Source organism: Homo sapiens, chromosome 14 (assembly GCF_000001405.40).
Source record: "Homo sapiens chromosome 14, GRCh38.p14 Primary Assembly".
Lineage (NCBI taxonomy): Eukaryota > Metazoa > Chordata > Mammalia > Primates > Hominidae > Homo > Homo sapiens.
Window position 1 is genome coordinate 96,269,855 of NC_000014.9, and position 26,648 is coordinate 96,296,502.

Below are 26,648 nucleotides of genomic sequence, written 5' to 3' on the forward strand. Positions count from 1 at the left end.
AACTATGACTGAAATGAATGCATGTCAAAGCACAGTCTGAATAAAATCCCAAAAATGGTGTCCGTGTCACTCTCCTGGTTGTGATATGGCACGATCCTTGTGTAAGATGTTACTATTGGGGGAAACTGAGTAAAGAATAATGGGGCCGGGCACAGTGCTCATGCCTATAATCCCAGCACTTTGGGAGGCCGAGACAGGCAGATCACATGAGCCCAGGAGTTCAAAGACCAGCCCAGGCAACATGGTGAAACCCTGTCTCTAGTAAAAATACAAAAATTAGCCAGGCATGGGGGTGCACACCTGTAGTATCAGGTACTTGGGAGAATGTGGTGGGAAAATCAGTAGAGCCCAGGGTTCAAGGCTGCAGTGAGCCATGATTGTGCCATTGCACTCCAGCCTGGGCAATAAAGTGAGACCCTGTCTCAGAAAAAAAAAAAAAAAAAGAATGAGTACAAGGCATCTTTCTTATCACTGTATGCAAATCTACTAAAAACCTTAAAAAGAATGCATCATTAAGTTCAACCACTCTGCCTTACAGATGAAGAAACCAAGGTCCAGAGACAAGCAGACTTGTCCAAGGTCACCGAGTAAGCAGGGCTCCTGCTGAAGGGCTCTGTTCAGACCCAAGATGCCCGCTGGGCCCTGGTGACAGGTCTCAGTCTCAGGCTGAGGTCAGAGAAGAGGCCTGAGTGCCAGGGTTCTCATTTGAGTGGCCATGATGATTGCAGAGACTCCCTATGGCCAGGATTGTGTTTAAGGCAGTAAACAGGAAGCCAAGCCTACTTTTCAGGAGCTTCAGGGGACAGAAAACTATCAGGAAGGATTGGTTGGGACCCAGCAAGTACGAGAGGAAGACATTTCAGGGCTTCAGTCAACAAGGGGCTCAGTGTACTGTAGCTGCCAAAATAGCTGCCAGCTCTCAGCTGCATTCAAAGGAGTATAGCCTCTAAAATGAGGAAGGTCATATTCCCTTAATTTAGCACTGGACAGGGTCCATTAGGAGTATTGTGTCCAGCTCTTGGCTGATTCCAAAGACAGGGATCAGACTGGTGAGAGGATGCAACAGCACACCCTCCAGACACATGGCGGCAGAGGGCTTACCACAGAAGATAAGACTTATGTGGAGAGAGGAACAAATGCACTTAGTGTTACCCCAAAGGGACCAAAGAGAAAAAAATCCTGAGAAACACTTTCTGTCTTAATTTAAGGATGGGCTCTTTGACAGGCAGAGCTGTCCCATGATAGAACTGATGGCCCTCAATGACGTGGGTTCCTGGTCTCTGGAGGAGCCCAGCGAAGCTGCAGGATCTCTTGGCAGGAGGCTGCAACAAGAATCCAGGAAGCATCTACTGCACACTCACCCTTGAGGAGCTCACTGCATGTAAGGGAGGCAGAAAAGAAAAGAGATCATTCCTCAGTGTGAGATGTCTCGTCATGGGGTGACGAAGTCTGCTGCAAGGAGTTCCAGAAGGAAAGGGGGTTCCTTGAGCTGGATCTTAAAGTTAAGTAGGACAATGAGAGTGTTGGCCACCTGCAACTTTTCCCTCACGCGAGTTCTCAGCCAACAAAATCAAGGGCTGGAAGATGTATGCCAATCCCAAGGAGTGACTGTTGTCCTCTGGGCCATGTGAGTCAGTGAAGACTGAACAAGGAAGTGGCATGTTTGGAACTGCATTTCAGAGAGATCACTTTCACTAGAATATGGATGATGGCTTGCACAGTGTATCAGTTATCTATGTTGCATAAAAAACCACTCCCACACTTAGTGGTTTAAAACAACCACCTCAACTCATAATTCTGTAATTGGCCATTTGGGCTGGGTTTAGCCGGGTGGTTCTTCTACTGGTCTTGGCTGGGCTTACTCATGAATCTGTGATCAACAGCCAGGCAGCTATCACTCTGCTTCTGGAGAATGGGCAGGAGGCTGCAGCAAGCACAAGGCCAACATCAGATGGAATTAAAACCCACTGATGGGGCCGAGAGTGGTGGCTCACACCTGTAATCCCAGCACTTTGGGAGGCCAAGGACGTCAGGAGTTCAAAACCAGCCTGGTCAACATGGTAAAACCCCATCTCTACTAAAAATACAAAAATTAGCTGGTCATGGTGGTGCATGCCTGTAGTCCCAGCTACTCGGGAGGCTGAGGCAGGAGAATGGCTTGAACCTGGGAGATGGAGGTTGCAGTGAGCCGAGATTGCACCACTGCCCTCCAGCCTGGGTGACAGAATGAGACTCCATCTTAAAAAAAAAAACCAAAAAAAAAACCCCACTGATGGGTTAGGTGAAATTATGGCAGACTAGGGAGTACTCCAGTCCTGACCTCCACAATCTAAGACAGAATCAGAGCAGCTTCTTCATTCATGGCTTTGTGTGTCCAACACTTACTGAGTGACCAATACATGGCATGTAAAAGTAAAATTGTAAAAGTAAAATATAAAATCCCACCTTCAGTGAGTTCACAGGATGTGAAAAAGCTCATCATGCCCATTTTATAGATGGAAAAACTGAGGCCCAGAATGCTTTGCCCCAAGACAGAGCAACTTCGTCAGTGTGAGGTCTGGGATCAAGTGCCAGCTCTTCTACTCTGAGTACTGTAGCCCAACACAGTGCTCCCTAGAAAATGGTTCCTGAGCAGCTTGTCTTTTGAATAGAAGTGCCATTTGGTCAATGTTGATTTGGGGTTGGGAGCTGGTGAAGGGCAGAAAATTCTTCTTCCTCATTCTTCTGTGGGAGACATTACTACTGCTCACTGAGAATTCCAGTTCTCCTCTTCTGAAAAATGGGAGGTTGAAGGTGCTAAACTTCCTCACCCTATAGAGACTAAGAATGGCTTCTTGCTTGCTTTGGCCAATGTAAGCAAAATTGTGTGTCACTTCTAGGCAGAAGAAAATTCAAGATCATAGTCCTCCATTCTTTCTCTGCTGTAGAAAAACCTGAAAAGCTATGTTAATATAGTGATATCATTAAGATCTGGGGACTTTATCAGCCTGAACCTCTGAGTGACTAGGAAAAGCAAAGTTTCCTACCAACCTACATCAAACATGTAGGTGAGGAGAAAATAAACATTTGTTGTTTTAAACCACAAAGAGTCAAGGGTTTTGTTACTGCAGCAGAACTCAGCTCATCCTGACTAACTCATCAGGTTTTGATGAAGAGGGATTGCTCCCTAAACCCTTGGCTTCTTCCCCACCCCTGACTCCTCTCCCTGGAAGAGGAGTGACTTCTCTGATTATCCGGTTTCAAAAAAAAAAAAAAAAAAAAAAAGGAATTGGGCCTGGCCTGTAGAGCCCAGTTCCTTACTCCATTCTCACTCTTTGGGAAGTACCTGACTGCAGATTGGTCTTCTCTTGCCCATAAGGTAAGCATAGAGTTAAAGGCTCTGCCCTAGTGGGGGAAGTCATCAGCATTGCCTGGGCCTGCATGAGTCAGCCTGATTCTGGGATTCAGTATCAAAAAGTCTATTTTCTGGCCGTGTGCCTGAGTGATACCTTCCAACCTAGCCCTTATCAGTAATAAAGAGGAGAGTGCAGGCCCTGTGCACTGACTCCACCGTCTGCCTCTTTAGTGCAGAACTCATGAGGGAAAACAGGAGTGTCTTCACACCCCAGCTCCTATGATCCTGTCCATCTCTTACTATAGAGGATGCAAATTTCAAATATCTGTTATCCCTTGGAGAAAGCTTGTTGGTGAACTACACATCTGATTCATGGGAGATTTTTCACAAAATCCTTACTAATATCTTGGTGAGTTCTGATGTAAGGTGTATTAGCCTTATAGATATTTTGGACTCGATAGTTCTTTGTCATGGATGTCTGTCCTGTGCATTATAGGATGTTTACCAGCATCCCAGGCCTCTATGTGTTAGACGCCCAGAGCAGCCTCCCTCTCCTGGTAGTGGCAACCAGCATGTCTCAAGATATCACAGATGTCCCCTACGGGGCAAAATCACCCCCTTCCCCAGCTGAGAAACACATTTTAGCTGATCTGATCAAGTTATTCAACAATAGCCTCAAGGAAAGCCTGGTTGTCTGGAGAGACTTCTTGGAGGTGGTAGGACTGAAACTGAATCACAGGTTCAATCACTCGCCGCTGGCAGAGTCCAATTAACAAGAGCAGGGCCTGGTATAAAGAAAGTGATTTATTTCCAAAGCTTCACTTAGGGGAAGAAGTACAAGCTCCTGCCTTAAGGGTACTGCTTTGCTTCCGGGGCAGAAAGCAGGGGCTGTTAAAGTGGGACTTGGCATGAATGGCACGCAGGGGAGGGAGCGGGCAGGTGGGGGTCTACATGATTCTTCCTAGTTCTGCCTGCAGTGGTGCCAGCTCAACCATCTGGCAGAGCAGAACTAGGTTGTAACGTGGCCCGTTGTCTCGAGATACTGTCCAGGTGGGAGAGAGTTTTCTAGCGGGCATACTTGAGGTTGTAAATTGACTAATGTCTCTCGAGGCAGTCTCCTGGTGGGAGAGGGGCTGGGCTCTGGAGCTTCTAAGCAAGTACATGGTTAGATAAGCTTGCCCTGTAATGAGTGTCTGGTGAAGGGAAGGTTATAAATTGCATTTCTAAAGAGCTAAGTAGGAAGTGGGGAACAGGGGGGAAGGGGGAAAAAGAAGAAAATAATAATTTAAAAAATCCAGCTCACTCTCTTTCTCTTAGAAAAATAGGTCTTCAGCCCTTGAAGAATTGGACTTTATGAAATGAAGGAGGGAGGCCATGGTGCTGGGAAGGAAAGAGTGAGCAAAGGGAGGCTTGGAGGCAGGCGCTGATGGGATGGCAGGGTAGCAGGAGGATCACACAAACTGCAGCTGGAATGATGACATAGCCAACCATGCACAATCAGTCCTAACCATCTCTGGCATGCATTGCACGTACAAGTATTTGCTAACATCATTAGAGCAGAATCTCTCTGTAAGTGCAATACGTGGCGTCAGCTCCTAACAAGTCGCTATTATTGATTTTGGGGTCTTTCCCTGGTGTTTCACAACACCCCCAGCCAATGCCTTGTGGCTTCTTCCAGTGTGATTTTCCCTTCACTGTCCTACAGCCAACCTTGTGGCAGGGAAAATGTAAGCCTGGGGAGCGGTGAGAAAGGAAGAATGGGATTCATCCATCATGAACAAAATGCCAACGTTCTTAGAACGATCAGGATCCAGTGGGACCAGGGTGACCTTGAGGGAAGTAAATCAAGCATGGAGATGCCATGTCAAATCATGTCTTTATTTAAAATTTTGAGGTTTCGTTCATCATGGATGTTTTTGCATTACTTTTTATTTTTTAAAACTTTGCATTATTGTTTGATGACAGATGTGCTCCCACCTTAGACTTTGCGCCCAGCTGAGAGCCTCACTTGCCTCACCCTAATCCCACCCTGAGTGGGAGGGTGGGGGCTGCATTTCCAGCAGAGGGATCTGGCAGAGAAGCTTCTGCAGGCTTCTATTTCACACTCATCTGTAGACAATCCTCAGAGAAGGCCACAGAAGCTCTTTATCTGTATACAAAGCACATTTCTATTCTCTCATGCCCCAAACATGGGCTTTATCAGTCTGCCGTGAAAGTGCCACCAGGGGCAATTTTCATGTTGAGAGAGGGCCTGGTGTGCTGGCCCCCAGCCCCATGTTTACAGCGAGAAATTAACCATGGAATAAAATGATGTTTTTCTTTTTAATCCACGCAGTGTCCTTGACTAAGAGGAAGCTGTCACCGACAAGCCTCGTGAGAGAGTTAGGATAGTTAGGATGTTTCCAAGTCCTTCCCACCGCGCGTGGGGTCGGAATTTGCACGGGCTCGGGTGCCATGCTTGGTAGGGGGTGATTTCCAAACCAAAGTTCCACTGAGAAGAGGGCGGGCGCCCCCTGCTGGCATCAGGGGCAGACTGCTCTTTCCCCAGACATGATTCTGCACCCACTTTCTCTCAAAGCAAACCCTTACATGGGATTCACTACAGATCCGTTCCAAAGCGAAACAGAACACAGAAACAGGACAAGGCCTCTTGAAAGGGGTTGTTTAAAGATCTCTTCAAAAAAATTTAAAAATAAACCTGTTTTGTGGGCATGTCAATAGATACAACTTCCATGGGAAGGCAGTTGACAATAGCTACCCAAATTTCAAATGGTGTCCCATATTGACACAGTGTTACCCCTTATGGTGATTTATCCATCAGATATACTTATCAGAAATGGAGAAGCAGCAAAGTTAAGTGGCTCAAAGTGAACCTTTAGGGCGGAGATTTGGCTGAAATTCCAGTTCATTGGCACCAAAGCAAATGGAAATAAAGGCTGGGCCACGTTAAGATTGCTTTCCAAATAGAACGCGGTATGGACAATTAAGAAGAAATTAAAACGGAATCTGGTGTCAAGAAAATAGTTATGTCCTGAAAGAGTGGGAGTTGAGGGGGAGTAAAACTTTAAGCTGAAATGGAGGCGTGAGGGAAACTGTATTTGGCCTTTGAAGTGTTTATTATTAATGGAAGGAGGATTTCTGTCTACAGCATTAGAACATTGATACTGTATTGAAAATAGCATAGATGTTGGCATTTTTTTCACTTGTCTTTTACTAAATGCTAAACAGTTTATGGAGGGATTGCCTTGAAGTCTCCATCACTGAAAATAACTGGGCCACATCTGGGCTGACAAAATGTTCACGTTAAGAGTTCTGGAAGTCAAGTGAGTACTTTGCACTGAGCAGTTGTGTTTTCCCCTATACTTCAGTGGAATCCAAATTTGAAAGAATGGTTCGTCCTCTTCTGGTAGCCTTAGAAATTCTTACAGTAAGGATGCACTAGTGTTCATTTTTCTCAGTTATTCCAAATCTCAAAAAACTTGGCCTCCAACACCCTTTTTGAAACTGATTTTTAAATACGACCCTTGTTGTATCTCTAAGATTAAATTTCCTTGTAAGTAGGCAATCCTAAATATCAGGCTAAAAAGGAGCTGGCTCCCCCACCTACCCCGAGGCCACCCCGGATCTGCGTTTAATGCCAGGGAAGCAGAAGTCCAGACACCCAGAAACAAGACAAGACCAGGTGGTGTCTTCAAAACCAGGAATTCCAACTCTAACAGTGCTCTCAGTGGTATATGTTCCTTTCCTCAGCATTGTGAACTGACACTCAAATCTCTCGGGGAGCAAAGCAAATTGATTTACATTTGTAAGGAACAAATGGCTGGGATGATTAACTGTTTGGTCTCTTGCATATTAGAATTTGCCATCTTTTTTTTTTCTTTTATCTTTTCTATGGTGTGGAGAGTTTGATGTCTTCTCACTGGATTCTGAGCTCCCTGGGAGCAAGGACCATATCCTTCCTCTCCAGCGCAGGCATTTGCACACAGTAGGCATTCAAGAAATGGTAACAATATCTAAGTCTTATACTTACCGTGTGCCACAGAGACACTGTTCAAAGCACTTGAATCCTCCTACCAATTGTATTATTATTTTATACAGAAGGAAACTGAAGCACAGAGAGGTTAAGTAACTTCCCCAAAGCCACACAGATCAGAAGTAGTGGAGCTTGAGTTCGACCCCAAGTAGCCTAACTCTAACGTCTACACTCTTAGCCACTGTGTCATGGTTCCCAATCTTGTCTACACATTAGTCCCCTGGGGAGCTTTAAAAATACACCCCAGGGATTGGGATTTAGCTGGTCTTGGGCATGGCCTGTGCTTTGGCATTTTTGAGAGATCCCCTGGTTCTCATGTGCAGACAAGTTCTGAGACCCAGTGCATTACACTGCCCTGCCCCATTCACCAGCAGATGTTTGCTGAATGGGATTTGCTCTGTGTGGAACTGCTTTCAGGGATATAAACAAACAAGCCCAGGGGAAAATACTCCTAACTCTGGCAACAGCATATTATCTTCAAGTGCAGCAGAATGTAATTCCAATAGAGCATGTAAGCACATGGGTCTGCAGTCAGATATTCCTGCATTCAGAGTCTAAATGGGCTGGTTATGATCTGCAGGTACCAGTCAGGCCAGGTGCTCACCAACCTCACTTTCCTTCCTTCCTGGGTACACAGGTAGACTCCATTACCCATGTTTCCTGTTGGCTGTGACCATGTGACAGAATTCTGACCAATGTGGGCATAAGTGATGTTTGCTCCTGTCTCCCTGGCTATGTATGTCCTGGCCACAAAAGTGGTCCTCCTGTCTCTCCTGTGCAGAGATCCCAGCTGGGGATTCTGAGGTTCCAGGGGATGCAGAGCCACAAGATGGAAGGAGCCTGGGCTCCTCCATCACTGCTTGAAGGAGAGCTGTCAGATATTCCAGACTGCCAACCAGACTTTCTGTAAATGAGAAATAAACCTCTCTTTTTGTTAAGCTGCCGAGGTTTGGGGATCTAGCTGTCACTAGTGACTCATGTCCCTTAACAAGTACATGGTGTGGCTTGGGATAGGTTACTTAACCTAAGCCTTAGTTTTGTCATCTGCAAAATACAAATAATGGTACAAATATGAACAAGACAAAATAGATACACTCTCCTCTCTTCTGCCCCTCTCCACCTTGCCCTCTGCCCAGAACCCTGTGCCTTATGGACTGGGCATGAGCCACATTCTACCCATGGGAGGTTCCAGCAGGAGATGGGAGGGCAGGAGAGTGGGGGTGGGGGTCTATCCCTCTGGCTGCTTCCCTCCACCTAGGGTCATAGCTCCGGTCAGGCAGCCCTCTTTCAGCTATTAAGTTTTGGGAATCGCTCCCTTCGTCTTTTCAGGACTGTGGCTGTGCCTGGTGTTCAGTCTCTTGAGAGATGGATGAAGAAGGAGGGGCATCCTAATCCCATTCCCACAAGGAGAGCCACAAAAGGTGAGGAATGGCCATTGGCTCACATGACTTTGAGGCCAGGGCAGGCCCAGAGCTGAGAGGGGATTAGAGAAGAGCTACCAAGTCTTCACTTGGCTCAGAGACAGCCACGAGGTGCCTGTGGGCTTCCCTTACCCTGTGCTGCCCACCATGTGCTGAGTATTTCCTTCCTAGCACCTGTCTGTCACATGGAGTGGTCACATCTCTTGCTGGGACCCTGGCTGATACTGAATGTGAATGTTACATTGTCAATACTGATACTGAATGTGAATGTTACATACCCTGGCTGATACTGAATGTGAATGTCCCCCTGCCCTGGTGAATGAGGCAGGGCAGTGTAATACACTGGGTCTCAGAACTTGTCTGCACATGAGAACCAGGGGATCTCTCAAAAATGCCAAAGCGCAGCCCACACCAAAGACCAGCTAAATCCCAATCCCTGGGGTGTATTTTTAAAGCTCCCCAGGGGACTAATGTGCAGACAAGTTTGGGAACCATGACACAGTGGCCAAGAGTGTTGTCGAGTGCCAAGCAGAGGAGTCGCCACATAGGAAATAGTCAATCAATGATGAACTTTTATTTCATATATATTTATATTTTAAAAATTATTACAAGTATTGCTAAAATCAAGAAAACGTGAGCTTACATTGAATAAAGGACATCTGTAAGTAGTAATCATGTGATCTTGGGCAAAGAATTTCCCCTCTCCGGGCTTCGATTTCCTCACCTGCAGACAGGACTAGATGACCACTCGGGTTCACTCACTCATTCATTCATTCATTCACTCATTCACCATTTGCTGATCCCTGACTCTGGGCAAGGCACTGTGCTAGGCACCGGGTCCCTAAGTCCCTTGCCCTCCTGAAGGAAGTCAAACAGGGAAACAGACGTGGATCTACAGTATGCGGGGAGTGCCGCAAAGTTTAACAAACAAAAAAAAGGAAAGCATGCTATAGTGGGAAACAGAGAGGAAGGGAGGGTGGCCAGGCTGCCTGAAGTGGAGCCTCCGGGCTGAGACAGCAGGAGCAGCCAGAGATCCCGACAGAGCATCCGAGTTGGGGCGGCCATAGCGCGTTCTTGCCCCAGGCTGTGCATGATTTTCCCCAGGAGAGCTCTTAGCCCAGTGATTTTTAACAGGGGATTTTTGTCATATTTGGCATATTTGGCCATGTCTGGAGACGTCTTTGGCTGTCACAACTGGGGGAGGGGAGTTTGTTACTGGCATCCAGTGGCCAGAGGCCAGCGGGGGGTGGGAGGGTGGCAACATCCCCTGCATCCTACAATGCACAGGCTGGTCCCAAATGTCAACTGCTGAGGTGGAGAAACCCGACTTTAGCCCCATTCTGAGATTTTGCTTTAATCAGTGTTGACTGTGGCCTGTGGTGCAGCATTTATAGAAAGAAATCTTCCAGGTGGTGCTAACCCCTACTCACGGGCATGCAGAACTGAACCGCTGGGGTGGCTAAGCACAGCCAGAAGAGGGGAGAGGGGCTGGAGACGCCAGGAAGAGATCAAGCACATTTTCTTGCTCAAATATTCTAAGAGCCTTTAATCTCAATCTTCTAGCAAAATTCTGTGGTTTCCCAATTAGTGAAGACTTTTTGCTAAGTTAGGTAACTGCTCCAAGCTTTTCTTAAATGAAGTCCTGGGAAGAGCATGAGGTCTGGAAGTCAAACCATGTGACGGTGAGCAAGTTTCTTGACCTCTCTGAACCTGTCTCCTCATCTGGAAAACAGGGACTCTAGTAACTGCCTCTGAGTGGGGGCTGTGAAATTATAAAAAGACAGTAGGATACTTGGCACACAGTAAGCATCTCACAATTGTCCCCATCCCTTTTTTCAACAAGAGCCATGGGTGAAGTGTGACTTGTCATTTTTTCCCTAATTGTTCAAAGTGGATGTTATATAGTCACATCTGTCACAACAAAATCTTTTAAAGTAAATTGCCCTTAAAAATAAGTATGTCTGGCCAGGCACGGTGGCTCATGCCTGTAATCCCAGCATTTTTGGAGGCTGAGGTCAAGAGTTCGAGACCAGGCTGAGGTTAACCTGGCCAACACGGTGAAACCTCGTCTCTACTAAAAAAACAAAAAATTTGTGGGGCGTGGTGGCAGGTGCCTGTAATCCCAACTACTCAGGAGGCTGAGGCAAGAGAATCGCTTGAACCCAGGAGGTGGAGGCTGCAGTGAGCTAAGATTGCTCCATTGTACTCCAGCCTGGGCAACAAGAGCAAAGCTCCGTCTGAAAAAATAAATAAATAAAATAAAAATAAGTATGTCTTTTAAATATTCCCTTCATAAGTAAAAATACTCCTCCAAATAGTTATCAGTTTCGTGATATCAAACTAGGAGGTGTGTTTGCTGCAAGTCCTTATTGCAGGGATAGGATAACTAATAGAGGGACTAAAATCCAAAGCAGGGAGGGAAGAACTGTTAAAACTCCATACAGCTCAGCAATCAGTAGCAGACAGACCCAAGATCTGCTATCAGAAGCATCAGGGGCACTGGAACATCATTTCCCAATAACAAGGTCTGAGGCAGATGTACACCCCACCCCAATAAGTATTTTACACAAGTTTTGGGAACACTTCTTGGTGAAAGACAAGTGTTTAAAGCAAAATCCAAAGAGTAAATATTTTAATTTTTTCTTCAAGAGTATTCTTATTTTCATATTATTTAAATAGTCACATTAACAAGGTACATTTCCACAAAAATATTTGTACAGCATCAGTATTCTTATTCACATCCATAATTGCCATAATTAGGAAAAATTAGGAAACTTAGCAAAGACAGTCAATACACATGTTCTTTTACTTGTGGTGAGATAAATTCAATGTCTAAAATAAGTCAGGATGGATCAACATAAAAGCTGAACTAGACACCCCTACCAAATTTCTCAATGAAAAAGCAAATAGCCCTGGGTGACCAGCAAGTTATACAAACAATGCAAGACAAATCCAACTAGAAATCGGAAGCTGCCATTTCGTATACACAAAATACAAGTGAAACAGTGAAGTAAACATATTTTTAGAGGGAGGTGCTGCTACCCGGGACATTAGAGATATAACTGAGCCAGCTGAGATGACATTTACAATCTCTTGAAATGCAGCAGATGGCACTCTGGTGCTTCCTATGAAGCAACATGCTTGAAATCAAGGGCCAACAATTGTTGTAGGAAAGCAAAATATACCTCTAACACCTACGTTTACCAAAAAAGCTGACATCTCAAACTCTGAGTTGTTGAGACTCAAATTTCTCATCCCCAAAGAAGCCTATTACGGTAGTGTGTTGGATGCTTTTTGTATCTCTGATATGCAGGCACTATAATGGGGGGAAATACTTCTGAATAAAAACATTGGCTGACTTGCAACTGTGCATATAATGTCTATTCAAGGGGGCAGTGTGCCTAGCATGATCCTGAAATGTTGAGATAAAAAGAAGTTGGCATTAAAGCACTATTTGTCTTATATGAAAAGAGTGACTCTATCTTCCAGTAAACAAGATTTCCTGCAATGAAAAAGAAATTTTTCCTTCATTATCTATAAACTATACAAATAACCTTCCTTTTTAACCTAAGACTCAAACATTTATATTTGATTTTATTCTATTTGATACCAATTGGTATGTCCAGCTGATGCATTTGCAGATACAAAAGAATATTGCTTTGTGTTTGCACAGTCCCTTCCTTTCAAGGAACTTAAAGAACTTGATGGAGAAAAGAACTTGACGGACATTCTCTCTGAAGTCTTAAGGAGGTCAAAAGTAATGAAGGAAAACAGAAGGGGAGTGCTCGTTAGAGCCCACCATGCCCCACAGTTCTGAGGATGCGGGTGCGAGGACTCTGAAGCAAAGCAAAGCAGAGGGATCTCTCAGACGCCAAGTCACACAGCTCTTTACACATTGAAAATCTGAGTTAATGTTAAGACAATGATTAGTCAATCCTGAAACCATTTAGTGCAATTGGGGATTCCTCATTTTAAGTCGCTGCTTTAGAATTCCGCTCCCCTGCTGTCTGCATTCCGGTGGAAGCGGCATGCTGCCTTTGGACAAACAGCCTCTGCAGGGGCAGACACAGTTGTCTGGACTCTTTTGGAAATGAACAAAGACACTAAACCTACAGAACATCGTTTTTAAAGGAGATAGTTAAAAAGTAATGCCCTAAAAGCCAGAAATATTTCAATCGGCTTGAAAAGTGACACACAACAGGAGCAGGAAACACCAGTTTTTAGTATTTTGCCATCTTAGGCACACTGCTACTTGGAAAGATTTTTTAAGTGAACTTTGCCTTATAAAAATATTGATAAATATATGTACTTAAGCGAGAATCCAAATCGTACCCAAACTTCATGAAAGTGAAAGTCTATTGCTATGACATCTAGAAGAAACACTGAGTTATCTAAAAGGCAATGTTCAGTGGTGGGCAGAAAGGAAGAGAAAACGGGGGGTTCCGAGTTAGCTCCATTCAAGAGGAAGACACGGTTGTGGCCTCAGCTGCCTCTCTACTCGTCATGTAAGGGGGTCTTAACATGTCAGAACATTGTGGGGTCCTGCAACTTGCTGACAGATCTCGATGGAGCTGCTTATGGGACTCCATGGGGGGAACTGTAAGGACTCAACGTATCACTGGTGGACATGCGCGATCTACTCTAGTCAGAAGCATGACACCAACCCAACCACCCAGGCACAGTGGCAGTTCAGAAAAGTATTGCTCTGAGAGATCTGAGATCTAAGGTGGCCCCTGGCTGCTCCGCGTGTGATGTCGCCAGAGAGGACTCTCACTGGACGAGGCCCAGTGGTCTGAGGCTCTGTACAAAGCATGACGCCACATGTGATCATTCTCACACGCACACACAGCCTAATCATCCAAAACCTCCCTTTGGGCTTTGTCGTAAAAAACCCTCCATTTACCAGGAGGGATGCTGAGGCTTACAGGGATCAGATGTCCTGGACAAGTCATCCGTTTGGTAAGCTGCAGATGTGGCAAACCACGGATTCTAGCCACGCTCTTTCTACTGTGTCATCACAACACCAAAGTCTGAAAAGACACTTGTAAAAAAGAAAAAGCTTAAGGACATTTAATAATGTAGAAGTGTTCCGATATAGATAAACATCTTTCCAGAATCTCAGGTAAAGAACATCTTGGCTGAACTGACAACGAATCTTTTTGAGACACAACGTTTCTGTTCCCAAAATGATTACATCGACAACAGGTGCAGGAGGGTAGAACAAAGAAAGAACCGCGGAGATTACATTACAAAGATATATGTTTAAATGAGATTTGTAAACTTAATTTGTTTGCAACTCCGGGTGCAAAGAAGAGAATAATTATTTTTCTCTATACTGTAGTTAATTGAACTTAAGTACAACTGTGGAAAGTATATTTAAAAGTTAGACAGATTTTACAATTTTAAGTTTGATCAAGTGTTTTCCAGTTTGACTAATCATAACTGGGTTAACACACATAGCAAGTTTCCTTAAGGGCAAATGGAAAATGCTGGCATCTGAGCGGGGTGGTCAGAACGCACCCCACAGCCAGAGGCGCCTTCCCGGTAACACAGCACGCCTTCCTGTTAGTGTGTCGCCAGGACCAGGCTCTACCCGAATAAGAGATGGTCCCACGGTGCTTAAACAGGTGGTTACGCTGTTGTCTTTTTAAGTTTTTTGGCAGTAAAAAGGAAACTAAAATTAAAAGCTATATAACCCCATTTTTATAAATTCTAAACATTTTGATTTTTGGTTTACATTGCTTTCCTGCTTAGAAAATTTAGAGAACGAAATTGATTTAACTACATTTTCCAAGCCCCAAATTGAAATGCAGTTCTGAAATTGAAGTTCAATAATATTCCCCCAACTTTAGAAAACAGGAAGTCAGGTCATGCAACTTTCAACAGTGGATATATACAAAGTTCCACCTTTTCTTTCTGCTGGATCAATCTAAAGTCAGGAATTGACAACAATTTCCCTCTTACTCCTAGGTAATGATTTACCTGATATTAACCAAAATCGATTTTGAGAAAGTGTTCCCAATTATCTTGTGGTAAATCACAGTACTGCATCTATGAATATGCTCTAAGAAAAGCAAAATATTCATGGAAGCATAAAACAATATCACCTTTAAATAAAAATACTTTATTCATTCCTGATAGGTTATCAAAATGTACACTGTTAACCAAGTAAAAATGGTATGCTGAAATAGTTAACTAGGGCATATTTGAAGAATTTTGTTTACTTTTAAAAGAGGAAAAATCACTTCCAATCTTCCCTTCCACACATTCCTAACAAGCCTGCACTATACCTGCTTAAAACTGAAAATATAAACAATTACATGGGCCCCACTTCATTACAGAATGCATTTTCCTGTACTCTTAAAGGAAGCTATTACATTGAAGTTACCTTCCTTTGCCAAAAACTTTCAGACAAGTTTACTGCTCTTTATATTTTGTGTAACTTTGTAAATTATACAAGAAATATAGCACACAACTTGAATTAATCTAAAAACACATACACATAAACACAGGATAAAGTGCAACACAACAGAACATGTCTGCAACATTCACTTTCTCAAACCCCCACAGAAGGATTTTCGGAGTAAATGGAAATAATGTTGTTCTCAAGTGCATGAACACTAAATTCAACAGAATAGGTTATTTTTCCACACTGATATTTATATTGAAAATCCTATTTGCTTTGCTTCCCCTGTGGCTTCTGTCTCTCATTTTCAGTTAAAAGTTCCGAAGCTGTGATTCTTTTTAAACCTTAAGAAAATCCAACTCCACAGAGCTACACAAAGTGTTAGAAGGCAGCTTCCAATGATCTCTCGTCGGTAACAAGGAGAATTACAGTCATCTTAACAAAAGTGAGCCTTCCACTAACTTGGCAGCAAATGCTTTAAGGACCTTTGACACCAGCCACCAAACATTTCTATAGGCAAGTATCAACTATAAATGTCAGAAGTTTTTGGTTGCATGTTGTTTTGATGTTAAATTATTTAACTAAAAAATGCTTTTGTTCCTGAGATGAGCACAATAAAATTAAACGAGCTTCCTCTGAAGCTGCTGTCAGGACTCTGAGCTCCTGGTTCCACTCTCCTTATCTTCACACTGTCAGTTCCAAGCCATCAGTCATCCCCGTGGCGCCATTTCTGTGACTCGTCTTGCCGGACATCTGGCCTAATTTGGTTTCTCATGCCACCCAGCACGTTTGACGTTGCTTCTGTGGCAACAATCAGAGGTTTCACCACTGCCGGAGGAATCTGGCGCAGAACCTCGCCCACGGCACCAGTCACCCCTCTGCTCTCGTGTTCTCGAGCCGCAGTTTCATAAATGGTCTGAGCCGTGTCTGTGATTCCCTGCGTAGAGGAGGGAGGTAGGAGAGAGGAGGGCAGTGAACAAACTCTGGTCGGAAAACTCTCTAAGCTATCCTGCAGTACACACTTTTAAAGCAGGTAACATTATGTTTGTAACCAGACAAAAAAAAATGCCATGCTTTTAGATAAACCAGGATTATTATTTTTAATGACAGAATTCTAACTATAAGGGAAAGAGGCAATTATGACTTAGTATTTTGTTGTGACACTAGTGCGTGGAAAATGTAGGTAAACTAAAATTTCGCATTGGGAAGACAGAAATACGGGCTTTGCTGGTACTATTAATCACTCCAGTTAAATCAAACTTGGCAAACAAAGCTTCTTGAATATATTCACTAAAGAAATATGGTGATAGTTCCCTTTGATTCAACCTAATTCTACTAAGCTCTGGGAAATTACTTAATTTGTTTTAAATTACTGGCTATGTATTAGGAAAAAAATGGAAAATTCAATTAAGATAAAAAGCTCAATAGAACATTTTATTGGATTAGAGAATTCTGAGAACAAAAAGCAGGAACATGTTTAATAATTCTCAACAAAACTTTAGTAGCATTTTCCATCTTTCTCACAACATAATAAAATAATGATGATTGCTAAGCTTTCTTTTTCATTTATTCAGTCTCTATGCTAGTAATGACTTCTGAGCTTTGAAGCTGAATATACAAACATGTAGGTCAAACCAATGTGGTAAAACTTCACATGACTTCTGAATCTTTACCATTTATCTAACTCAGAAATCCCTAGGGAACTCAAAGCAACATTCCATTATTATTATTATATTATTATATTATTGTGACAGCTTCAGTGATGGGGACAGCATAAAGGAACTTTGAGTTCTCCAGGGAAATCAAGGACCTTGAACTAACCCAGAATCTAGCCATCATTTTGGCAAGTTAACAAGAGCGTCCTATCTACCCAGTATATCTGGCAAAAACGTAATACCACAGAGCAATAAAAAAGATGTCCAGAAGGCCGGGCGCGGTGGCTCACACCTGTAATCTCAGCACTTTAGGAGGCCGAGGCAGGCGGATCACGAGGTCAGGAGATCAAGACCATCCTGGCTAACACAGTGAAACCCCGTCTCTACTAAAAATACACAAAACTAGCCGGGCGTGGTGGCAGGCGCCTGTAGTCCCAGCTACTTGGGAGGCTGAGGCAGGAGAATGGCGTGAACCAGGAGGCAGAGCTTGCAGAGAGCCGAGATCATGCCACTGCACTCCAGCCTGGGCAACAGAGCGAGACTCCGTCTCAAAAAAAAAAAAAAAAAAAACGTGTCCAGAAAAACTCAAAGAAATAATAAGTACTACTTTAAAAACTATCTAGAGGATAACAGCCAATAAGAGAAACCATGAGCACAACAATGTTTACAACTTGTACATTTCCCTGCACCATCTCCCTCCCCTCTCCACCAGCTCTCCTCCCTATCCCACCTGCGATAAACAGGAGTAGATGAGTAGAGTACGAGGCCGACCACCACTACGTTTGCGGACAACAGAAGTAAATTCCAGTCTCAGCCCTATTATTTAGCTGTGTGACCTTAGATAAGTCATTTAAAGAGGGAACTAAAATGCTGCCTTCCTCCTACGGTGATTGTTAGAATTAAATAATTCATCTCAAGAGCTTGACAGAGTTTGGAAGACAGTAAGTGTTCAATAAATAATTCCTACTACCACCCTCGTAAGTGCCTGACTACCACCAAATAGAACTATGTAAGTAGGGGTTGACATACTTTTTATGTAAGGGCCACACAGAAGGTATTTGTGGGCCATGGTCTCTGTTATTTATTTTTTGTTTTGTTTTGTTTTACAATCCTTTAAAATTGTAAATACCATTATTAATAGCTCAAAGGCCCATACAAAAGAGGCATGGCTAGTCTACCCTGCAGCCTAGTCTGCCAACTTCTGATCTAAAAGATGAGCCTATCTATGACACACACAAGGCATTTTCTCTTCATCTTTGACTTACTGACATCTAAAATGGAAAAGAAATACCAAGCACCACTTAGGAACTTTTTTTTTTTTAACTTTAATAGAGAATCCAGAGCAAGTCCAAACAAGCACATCCTACCATCTCAATCCACACTTACTAATCTCACCCTCCCTTCCCTCATTCTTCCTAGTGACAGCTTAGAGAAAGAGAACTAAACTTTAAACCCAAATACCCAGTTCCAATCCTGGCTCCACTCCCTTTTCTCTGTGGTACTTGGGGAAGGCCACTGTCTGGCAGAACCCGTTTCCTCATCTGTAAATTAGAAATATCGCCTATCTCTAATGGTGATTACCATATATTTGGCACAAAGTAAGCACACATTTATTTTAAAATTAATATAGATTAAATTAGGCAACCACTTCACAAGTTGTTAAATCAAACTGCTATTACATCTTACTGCCCACTGCCCTTACTAACCCCAGTGTCTGTTTCACAGATCTAATTTTAGCCTATTGATAGCTGGCTCAATCCTGACATCTGTAGGAGCAAATCTGACTGGTAATTATCTCTTTATTCTCCCCAGTAAATCTTTTTTTCAAAGCTGACCATTGGTCTTACCTTTATTTATCCACTAATACATTTCTTGGGGCCCTACCTTCGTGGACTTCCTGCCGTTTGGGACCACAGAGGCTACTTTTCTCAAGTAAAAGACCATCCTAGGCACGTCTGACTGTTGTTAGAATATGACTGAGAAAAATATCTTTCATGAAATCCTAAAACACAAATCATAAGTCAAATGACCTCAAACTCCCTTATGTCATATTAAAAAGAATGTCAAAAAGAGTATGCCAGGGAATGACGCTGACAACACCCAGAAAAAAAAAAAAAAACAGGGTTCACTGGCACAACCGTGTCAGAGAGCAATTCAGCAATGCTTAATACATGTCGAGATTCCAACGGTTACTCCCCAGTTGACCCTAAAGAATTTCTTGTACATATGAACAAAAAGAGAGTTAAATGAGCACTCCCCATAGTGGTGTTTCAGGGGAAAAATGGAAACTGAATGTCCACCAACAGGAAAATAAATAAATTATGATATATTCATACAGTGAAATACCATAAAACTGTGGAAATTAGACCTACATGGATTAAGATTAACATGGATCTATCTTGAAATAAGTTGCAGAATGAGACACATAACACCATTTACGGAAACTTTTAAAACATTAACACTAGTATGTTTTGCTTATAAATACATACTAAATAAAAATACATACATAATAAAACTATATAAAAACATGTACAAAAAAATATGTTCCACGTTCAGCATAGTGAAGGCATGGGAATAGGATCAGGGTGGGAGATTCATCTGAAAAGTTCTAGTTCTTAAGCAAATCTGAGGTAAGCAGGGCAGAGTATAAATGTGTTAAACCTAGACAGCGATCACACGGCATTTGTTTCTATCACTCCCTGAGTGCTTCTGCAGGTGAAGAGAGAGAATCCATCCACCCACGCAATCACTAGTATTCCTGTCAGCCTATTGGTCCCAGACTGGCCCTTTTCCATCACCTCACACAGATATGGGCACATGTTATTAGTGGCAGTTGCCATTCTGCTCCCAGGGATTTCTACAGAATACATTTAAGCCATTAAATGCTCTTTAGGTGAAAGTTGGGAAAGCGCACAGAAGGGTTCTGATGTGTCCACCCAAGTATTCAGTTACCTCTTTCACAACACTGTAGGCCTTGGCCACACCTTCCCTCAGGTCTACTGGCTGGTGGGCTAACCGGTGATGAGGAAACCTTTTGGTCTTCTTGGGCTCGATAGAAAGGGTACCAGGAGACACCATATCATAAGCAGTCTCTGCAGCTGCCTGGATCATTTTGTCAAAAGGAAGAAATGAATTAGAAGAAAGTCTGAAGAGTTACGGACCAGCAGAGCACTTCCTACAGGGAGTGAGGAAGAGCAGAGGAACTCACAAACCCTAATGAAGACACTTCTGCGTATCTGAATTCTTTACCACAAGAATTGATGACTTTTATAACGAGAACATAAAAGTATAAATTAATAACTAACACCTGGATTGAGCTAAATTTTTAGCCCCTCCTCTGTTCACTGAGAACACTCAACATTTCCACATCAGTCTATGGAGCTTAATACTTACTAGAATGATCTTTAATACTTCTGTTTAATCTACAACGCCTTCTTCAAATTTAGCTACGATCCTTTCATACAAATATGGTGAAATCAATCCTCTGCTAACTTAATGTTTACAATTTACCTGAAATAGGCAAACAAATCTGACACTGTATTCCACTGCTTTATTCTAATTATTTAACACTAAACATTTAAGCAATAAAACAAGCATGACATTAAATCACTACGAATAAAGTATCTACTCACAACATTTTGTATATCTTCACAGTATCGTTTTAAAAACAAAAGGACCCAACCATTTCACAATGGCTCTTTTTGGATAGACTAAGGCAGTCTAAAAAGATACCTGTATGGTTTGAACCATTCTGTTTGTGAGTTCTAGAGCAGCCATCGCTGTCGAGGTACCAAAGGAAGCAGCGCCTCTCTGAAACCCTCTGACAATGCGGCCATCCTTCCGGTACTGCTCTATTGGGAGCCAGACCAAGTCCTTTAGGCCTTGTACTACAACAGTCAACACAAAATCAACATCAGTGCCACAGTTCAGACTTTTCTATCATTCTAACCCTGGGGTTTTTAACTCCTAAAACTGGAGGCAAAGTTTTGTGTATATGAGTACATATGTGAGTTTTCTAGACTAATGGTCCTCACATAAGTTCTCAAAGGGATAAGAATTACTCATCTGAAAAAATAACTTATCTTTTGATTAAAAAAGAAGAAAACTCACCTAATTGTACTAGTGAATGCATAGGTCCAACACCTCCCAGGATTCCTGGTAGCTGGTTCTTCTTAATGTCATTAAGCCACTCAGTGATTGCATATGAGAATAATTTGTCAACGCCTAGTAAACTAGAGCAAATGATTATTAGTATGTCAAAAGGAGAAATACATTTATAGACACAGATTAGTTTGAGGGTTTTTTTTTACTTAAAACAAATTCTACAAATTATAAGGGCAAATATTACAGGTGCTTCAAAAACAGGTAACATTTTTCAAATCAAAAAGAAACACAAATCATCCTTTTAACTCACAACCTGAATTTCTCTAAATATACATATACATACATACACACACACATATATATAAAATCCAATTCTAATGTTAATAATTTCTACAAGACTCAGGTAATACGTATTAGTGTGTTTTTCCAATGTTCTTATTTCTTGAACATCTTAAGGCTTTGGCATAAGATTAACCCAAAGTTTCTAAATTGCCAGTAATTGCTACTAAGAACTTCCAATCTTTTCACTGAATAAGCTAATTTACAACCTTAGAAAATTATTTAAAATATCCTAAACTATAACTGTTTTTTCCAAATACTACTCTTTTCAAACTACTTCTAATCCCTCAGAATAGAAATCAGTGCCTAAATCTTAAGAGTCCTCTAAAAATGAGCTCTCTAAATAAAATACTGTAAAATTGTGTATGCATGCTAAGAAAACTCAGTTTTTAAATTTGTTGTACACTAACTTTGATAACTTCACTTAAAGCTTCATATAATAAATTCACTTACCCATGTCGATAGGAAAGCCTCTTGAGCTTTAGTTCAGAGCAGTTTAACTGAGCCAGACCAATCAAAATCCCAGCTAGCGTACCCTTCAAAATTAAAAAAGGCCAAATTAACCTTACTGTAAATTAAGAGACTCAACATCTAAAATAATTGTTATTTTGAAAGTCAAAGCAGTAGTCATTATTGATACTAAAACACTTAAAATATTTACAGTAAAAATATATATCTTACAATACATATGACCCAATTTATACCAAATTTTACTCATGGTACTTAAGTAAATATTTACATTAAAAACAATTAAATTTAAAAACCTTGCACTTCATTTCAAACATATATATAAACTATGACAAAGCAAAGTTAAAAATAAAAACGAGCTCATTAGAGAAACATATGATAATTTTGTGGAGTATATTTGTAGAGTTTCCCAACCTGATCCATTGATACATGTTTGCCATGATAATCAAGTCGAATGGGAACTTCTGACGTGAATCTAAATTCTCTGAAGATAAAGGAAGGAGGGAGTTATTTACATTTACAATTACTAATAGGTGAAATTAGATATAAATTAATTTGTTCAATTGGAGAATAAAAACAAAACCACAAAATAAATCATATAAATATCTTAAGAACTAAATAAAAGAGAATGTCTTTTAGCTCTATCTTTTCCTAATATAACAATTAAACAGATGTTAATCATCTCATATATTATTATATTTGCATTTCTCACAGAAAGCTTTTCTTAGTTACGTCTATATAGTGTAGGAAAATAAAAATAATACTAACATAAAATGTAATAAAAACCTTTTCTCAGTTTATGAAATAATGTACACTTACAAAAATTTATTCTTATATATATTCACAATTCATTCAAAGAATAAATTAATAAAAGCAACCTTCAAGATTAAACCAGATAGTCATGACCAAGAAATATAAAGAGAAGGCCTAAGGAATTATTTTGACTGTCTGGTAAAACAGAGCCAGCAATCCTGGCATGAACCCCAGGTTCATCTATGACATGCAACTGTGGGCAAGTCACTTGAACTCTCTGCTGCTCAGTCTTCAGAAATTGTTAAAATGCCACCTACATTGTTAAATTTTGTGAGAATCCTTGAAACTAATGATTCTAAGTAAACAGAATTATCGACAAACAAATATAGGGAACGGTGTGAGAATGAAATTATAATTATACAGTTGTCCCTTGGTTTCTGAAGTGGATTGCTTCCAGGGCCTTTATGGATACCAAACCCCTTGATGTTCAAGTCCCTTATATAAAATGGGATAGTATTTGCATATATGCCACACATATCCTTTCATATACTCTAAATCATTTCTAGATTACTTATAGTATTAATACAATGTAAATGCTGTGCAAATCATTTTTGTATTTTTAATTTGTATTATTTTTATTGCCTTTTTTAATTAATATTTTGGTTGAATCTCAGATGTAGAATTCCAGATATAGAGGGCTGGTTGTACACTGATGGTACACATCTAACAAAATGATCTGGCTTCCAAAAGTTGGCTGCAAACAATGTTTGGAACTTGAAACACAGTTTTCCCACAGAATTAATGTTGGTGGTTACATCCTAAGCCATCTCACCAAAGTCCACTGCGCCTACAACAAAATGGAGATGCTATATTTACACCAATCACTACCAGAAGCCTCAGACCCCAGGTCACGCCCATCCCCTGAATACTCAGCTCCACTTGGCTGTCGGGCCAGTGCCCTCCAATACTCTCCTTTCTCACTTTTTTTTTCTCCATGGCACATATTAATAGGACAAACCATTTATTTTAATTATTTGTAATCTCAATTTGTAAACTCAATTAAATATTTTCTCTACTTTGTTCATTTGTGCCTAGATCAAAACCTGGCATACAGTTAAGTGCTCAGTAAATATTTGTAAAATGAATAAATGTTTGGAGGAAGGGGGCTCTCATGACATTACTAAAAACTGTACTGGATTTTCTGGATTAGAGATAAGAAAATCTGTGTTCTAGTTGTGCCTTGGCCACGAACTGTGGTCTTGAGCAAGTCAACTAATCTCTCTGGGCATTCATTTCCTCATTTGTAAGGTGTGTAATTTAGACTATGGCACTGATTAGGAGCCTTTGAGAGTACAAATGAAAATCTATAAGCTATTCTCAATATTTTAAATAGTCTAATGGAAAAAATAAACATTTACCTAAGTAAGTATAGGGCTTGTGTACTTTTTAAACGTAAATAAATGGGTAACCCTACTTCCTCTGGGCTAAAAAAAAAAGGCAAAATTCTTTGCTTTCAGGCCCATGTTTACAAAAACCAAATTGGCAGTTTATAAATGTGACTAATAAAATAAGAATGCATATTATCACTTAAGATACATGTTTTTGTAAAAATAAAAGGATCAATGTAGGAAATTAATTTTAAAAGGTCCTTCTTTGGCGGTGGAAAGATTTAGAACCACCAGGAATCATCTATTCCAAGATCTTTCCAATTATCATATTCCATTTTTTCTACCTATTTTCATCACTATGCAAAATATTTAAAACGTGACAACCCTTCCAATTAGTAATACTGCTGACTTTGGCCCATGCCTAAAGTCTAACTTCAGAACCTAGAGAGAAAGAGAGAAATCAGCAACCCGGGACATATGAGAAAGCAGCACAGAAAATCAGGGAAGATGTAACTGCTCCTCATAACAAGGGGGCACTGATCTTCAGTCCCTTCTCTTTCCCATAGGGCCAAGCCACCATCCCTACCATCCAGTTTTGGAAAAGAAAGAAGATGAGAAGAACAAACAGGTCTGTAAATGAGGAAACTGCAGTGTGCTGTGCTCGAGCTGGCCGAGCCGTTGGGCAGCAGTCACAGCCGACGGCAGCAGCACAGCGGACCTGGGTCTCTTAACAGTGCCCACTGAGCAGGGAGGGAAGGGTCAGGAAAGACACATAACGACTGGGAAGGGCAGACAGAGAAAATAGGTAGAAAATCCCCACAAGGGAAAAGACAGACAGGCATAGCCAGGTTGAGATACATAAAGGAAAAAAAGCAAAAGGATGATATCCTGCTGGGCTGGTACAAACACACCATAACAGTGCTGGAAAGAGGGGACAGAGGAGAGAAAAAGAAGGAAGAAGCTAGAAGAAAAGGAAATTCCTGCCAGAGAATTGAAAGAGAGACGAATTTGGAACCAGGTTACTATGTGCAAATAAGGGGGGTGCAATTAGATGGGGACCACAAACAGATAAATACACCAGCTGATGATTTGGCAGTGCAAAGAAAAGCTGACGGAACCTCATGATTACCAGCACACATACATCACAGAACAATCTTCAAAAGTCTAAAATAACTTCATTTGTTATTAAAACTAAATTAGTTACCTAAAAAACACAGGCTGATCCCTAAAAGATGCTTCTTCAGCAGAGAAGTTCTTCTCTTCCATGCCATTAACCACTTCCACTGAATTGGCACTATCATTTTGGGAAGGCTGTTTTGGCCCAGAGAAAGAAATAACCAGATTTGGCTCCTTTGAGGTACTCAAATGCCTTGGCAAACTGCAGGTGACATCAGCTCCAGGAGACTTTTTAACTGAAAATGTAATGTGCATGTTTGAAAAATTAGATATGCTTCTTCTTAGCAAACATTTAAATCAATCTTGATCTAATTTGTTTTTCTACATTTTATTTAATCAAAATACGATTCTTGTTACAGAGAAAATTTGCTTTCACCTTTTAAATTATTACTTTTATATAAACAGTATTCGCGAATCAACAAAAATAAACACAGAACACATTTATGTAAGTGGGAATAAATATTGTAAGTACATTCTCAAAAAAGCCTCATAACAATTAAAATCAATCCAAGTACTTGGTATAGTCTTTTCAACTATACATATTTAATACCTTCTGGATCTGGAGTCATTTGAAGCTCTACTTCTGCAGAAAGACTTGTGAAGAAATCCTTCAGGAAGAACAAAGCATCCTAAAATTAAGAGATGTAATTTTAACTAAGGAAGAAAAGAATCACCTATTTCTAAAACTATGAAACAAAGTATCTTAAACTCATATATTTTACTCATTGTTCAAATATAGCTACAATTTATTGAATTCTTTCTCCATGCTAGTCATTATTCCTATTCTTCCCCCCACCACACACACACACACACACACACACAGATACACACTTCCCTTTTAATTCTCATAACTTTATGAGGAAATTAATTTATAGGTATGAAAACTGAGAGACAGAAGTTAAAGATTACAAAAGTAAAAAGGACTAAATCAAAGTACATTTGAGTTTTCTTAGAAATGGAGCACTCTCACTCTTGGCCCTGGCTCTCATTCTGCATTGTGGTGATATTACCAACAATCATGTGCTGGACACTTTTTTTTTTGAGACGGAGTCTCGCTCTGTCGCCAGGCTGGAGTGCAGTGGCACAATCTCGGCTCACTGCAAGCTCTGCCTCCTGGGTTCACGCCATTCTCCTGCCTCAGCCTCCCAAGTGGCTGGGACTACAGGCGCCCGCCACCATGCCCAGCTAATTTTTGGTATTTTCAGTAGAGACCGGGTTTCACCATGTGGACACTTTTAAGTGTCTTCAAAGTTCCAAATGACTTAACTTCTGCTTTTCATACATTATATTGCCTTAATACATTTCATCATTGAACATGATATTCAAAATAATGAAAATAATCCATTCAGTATGGTCTCTCCTGAAATTACATAATTACAAACAAAAACTGCATGGCTCTGTCTTCACTTTGTACGTACATGCCATATTTGCCCATTATAGGCAGCTTCGTTTTGCCTATCTCACTCAAACTGACAAATATATCTTCGAGGATATATTTGTATATATGCCTGAGCCTGATCTTATTCTTTCCTTTCATAATCCTAAACTGGCCGGGTGCAGTGGCTCACATC

At 41.2% G+C, this 26,648-nt stretch overlaps 1 protein-coding gene across 1 annotated transcript in view, besides 2 other annotated features; it reads right to left on the reverse strand.

The window, feature by feature from the left end:
- The window catches only part of ATG2B (autophagy related 2B), an 84,147-nt gene continuing 66,839 nt past the window's right edge, over positions 9,341 to 26,648 (reverse strand). The window contains exons 35-42 of the mRNA NM_018036.7: positions 25,628 to 25,706; positions 25,106 to 25,313; positions 22,175 to 22,244; positions 21,746 to 21,828; positions 20,960 to 21,081; positions 20,582 to 20,736; positions 19,802 to 19,951; positions 9,341 to 16,131 (exon numbers count right to left, since the gene is read on the reverse strand). Coding sequence (NP_060506.6) covers positions 15,901 to 16,131; positions 19,802 to 19,951; positions 20,582 to 20,736; positions 20,960 to 21,081; positions 21,746 to 21,828; positions 22,175 to 22,244; positions 25,106 to 25,313; positions 25,628 to 25,706 — 1,098 coding nt within the window. The 3' untranslated portion in view covers positions 9,341 to 15,900. The remainder of the gene's footprint in view (positions 16,132 to 19,801; positions 19,952 to 20,581; positions 20,737 to 20,959; positions 21,082 to 21,745; positions 21,829 to 22,174; positions 22,245 to 25,105; positions 25,314 to 25,627; positions 25,707 to 26,648) is intronic.
- Positions 12,466 to 13,006: an enhancer, noted in NCBI's record as "NANOG hESC enhancer chr14:96748657-96749197 (GRCh37/hg19 assembly coordinates)". NCBI's record gives its function as "activates a minimal SCP1, AML or CMV promoter by ChIP-STARR-seq in naive H9 embryonic stem cells {active_cell/tissue: H9 hESC(naive)}" and the evidence as "EXISTENCE:reporter gene assay evidence [ECO:0000049][PMID:30033119]".
- Positions 16,541 to 16,710: an enhancer, noted in NCBI's record as "experimental_38870 CRE fragment used in MPRA reporter constructs". NCBI's record gives its function as "activates a minimal promoter by MPRAs in K562 erythroleukemia cells, with activity observed for both the introgressed and non-introgressed 14:96752817 variant alleles {active_cell/tissue: K562}" and the evidence as "EXISTENCE:reporter gene assay evidence [ECO:0000049][PMID:34662402]".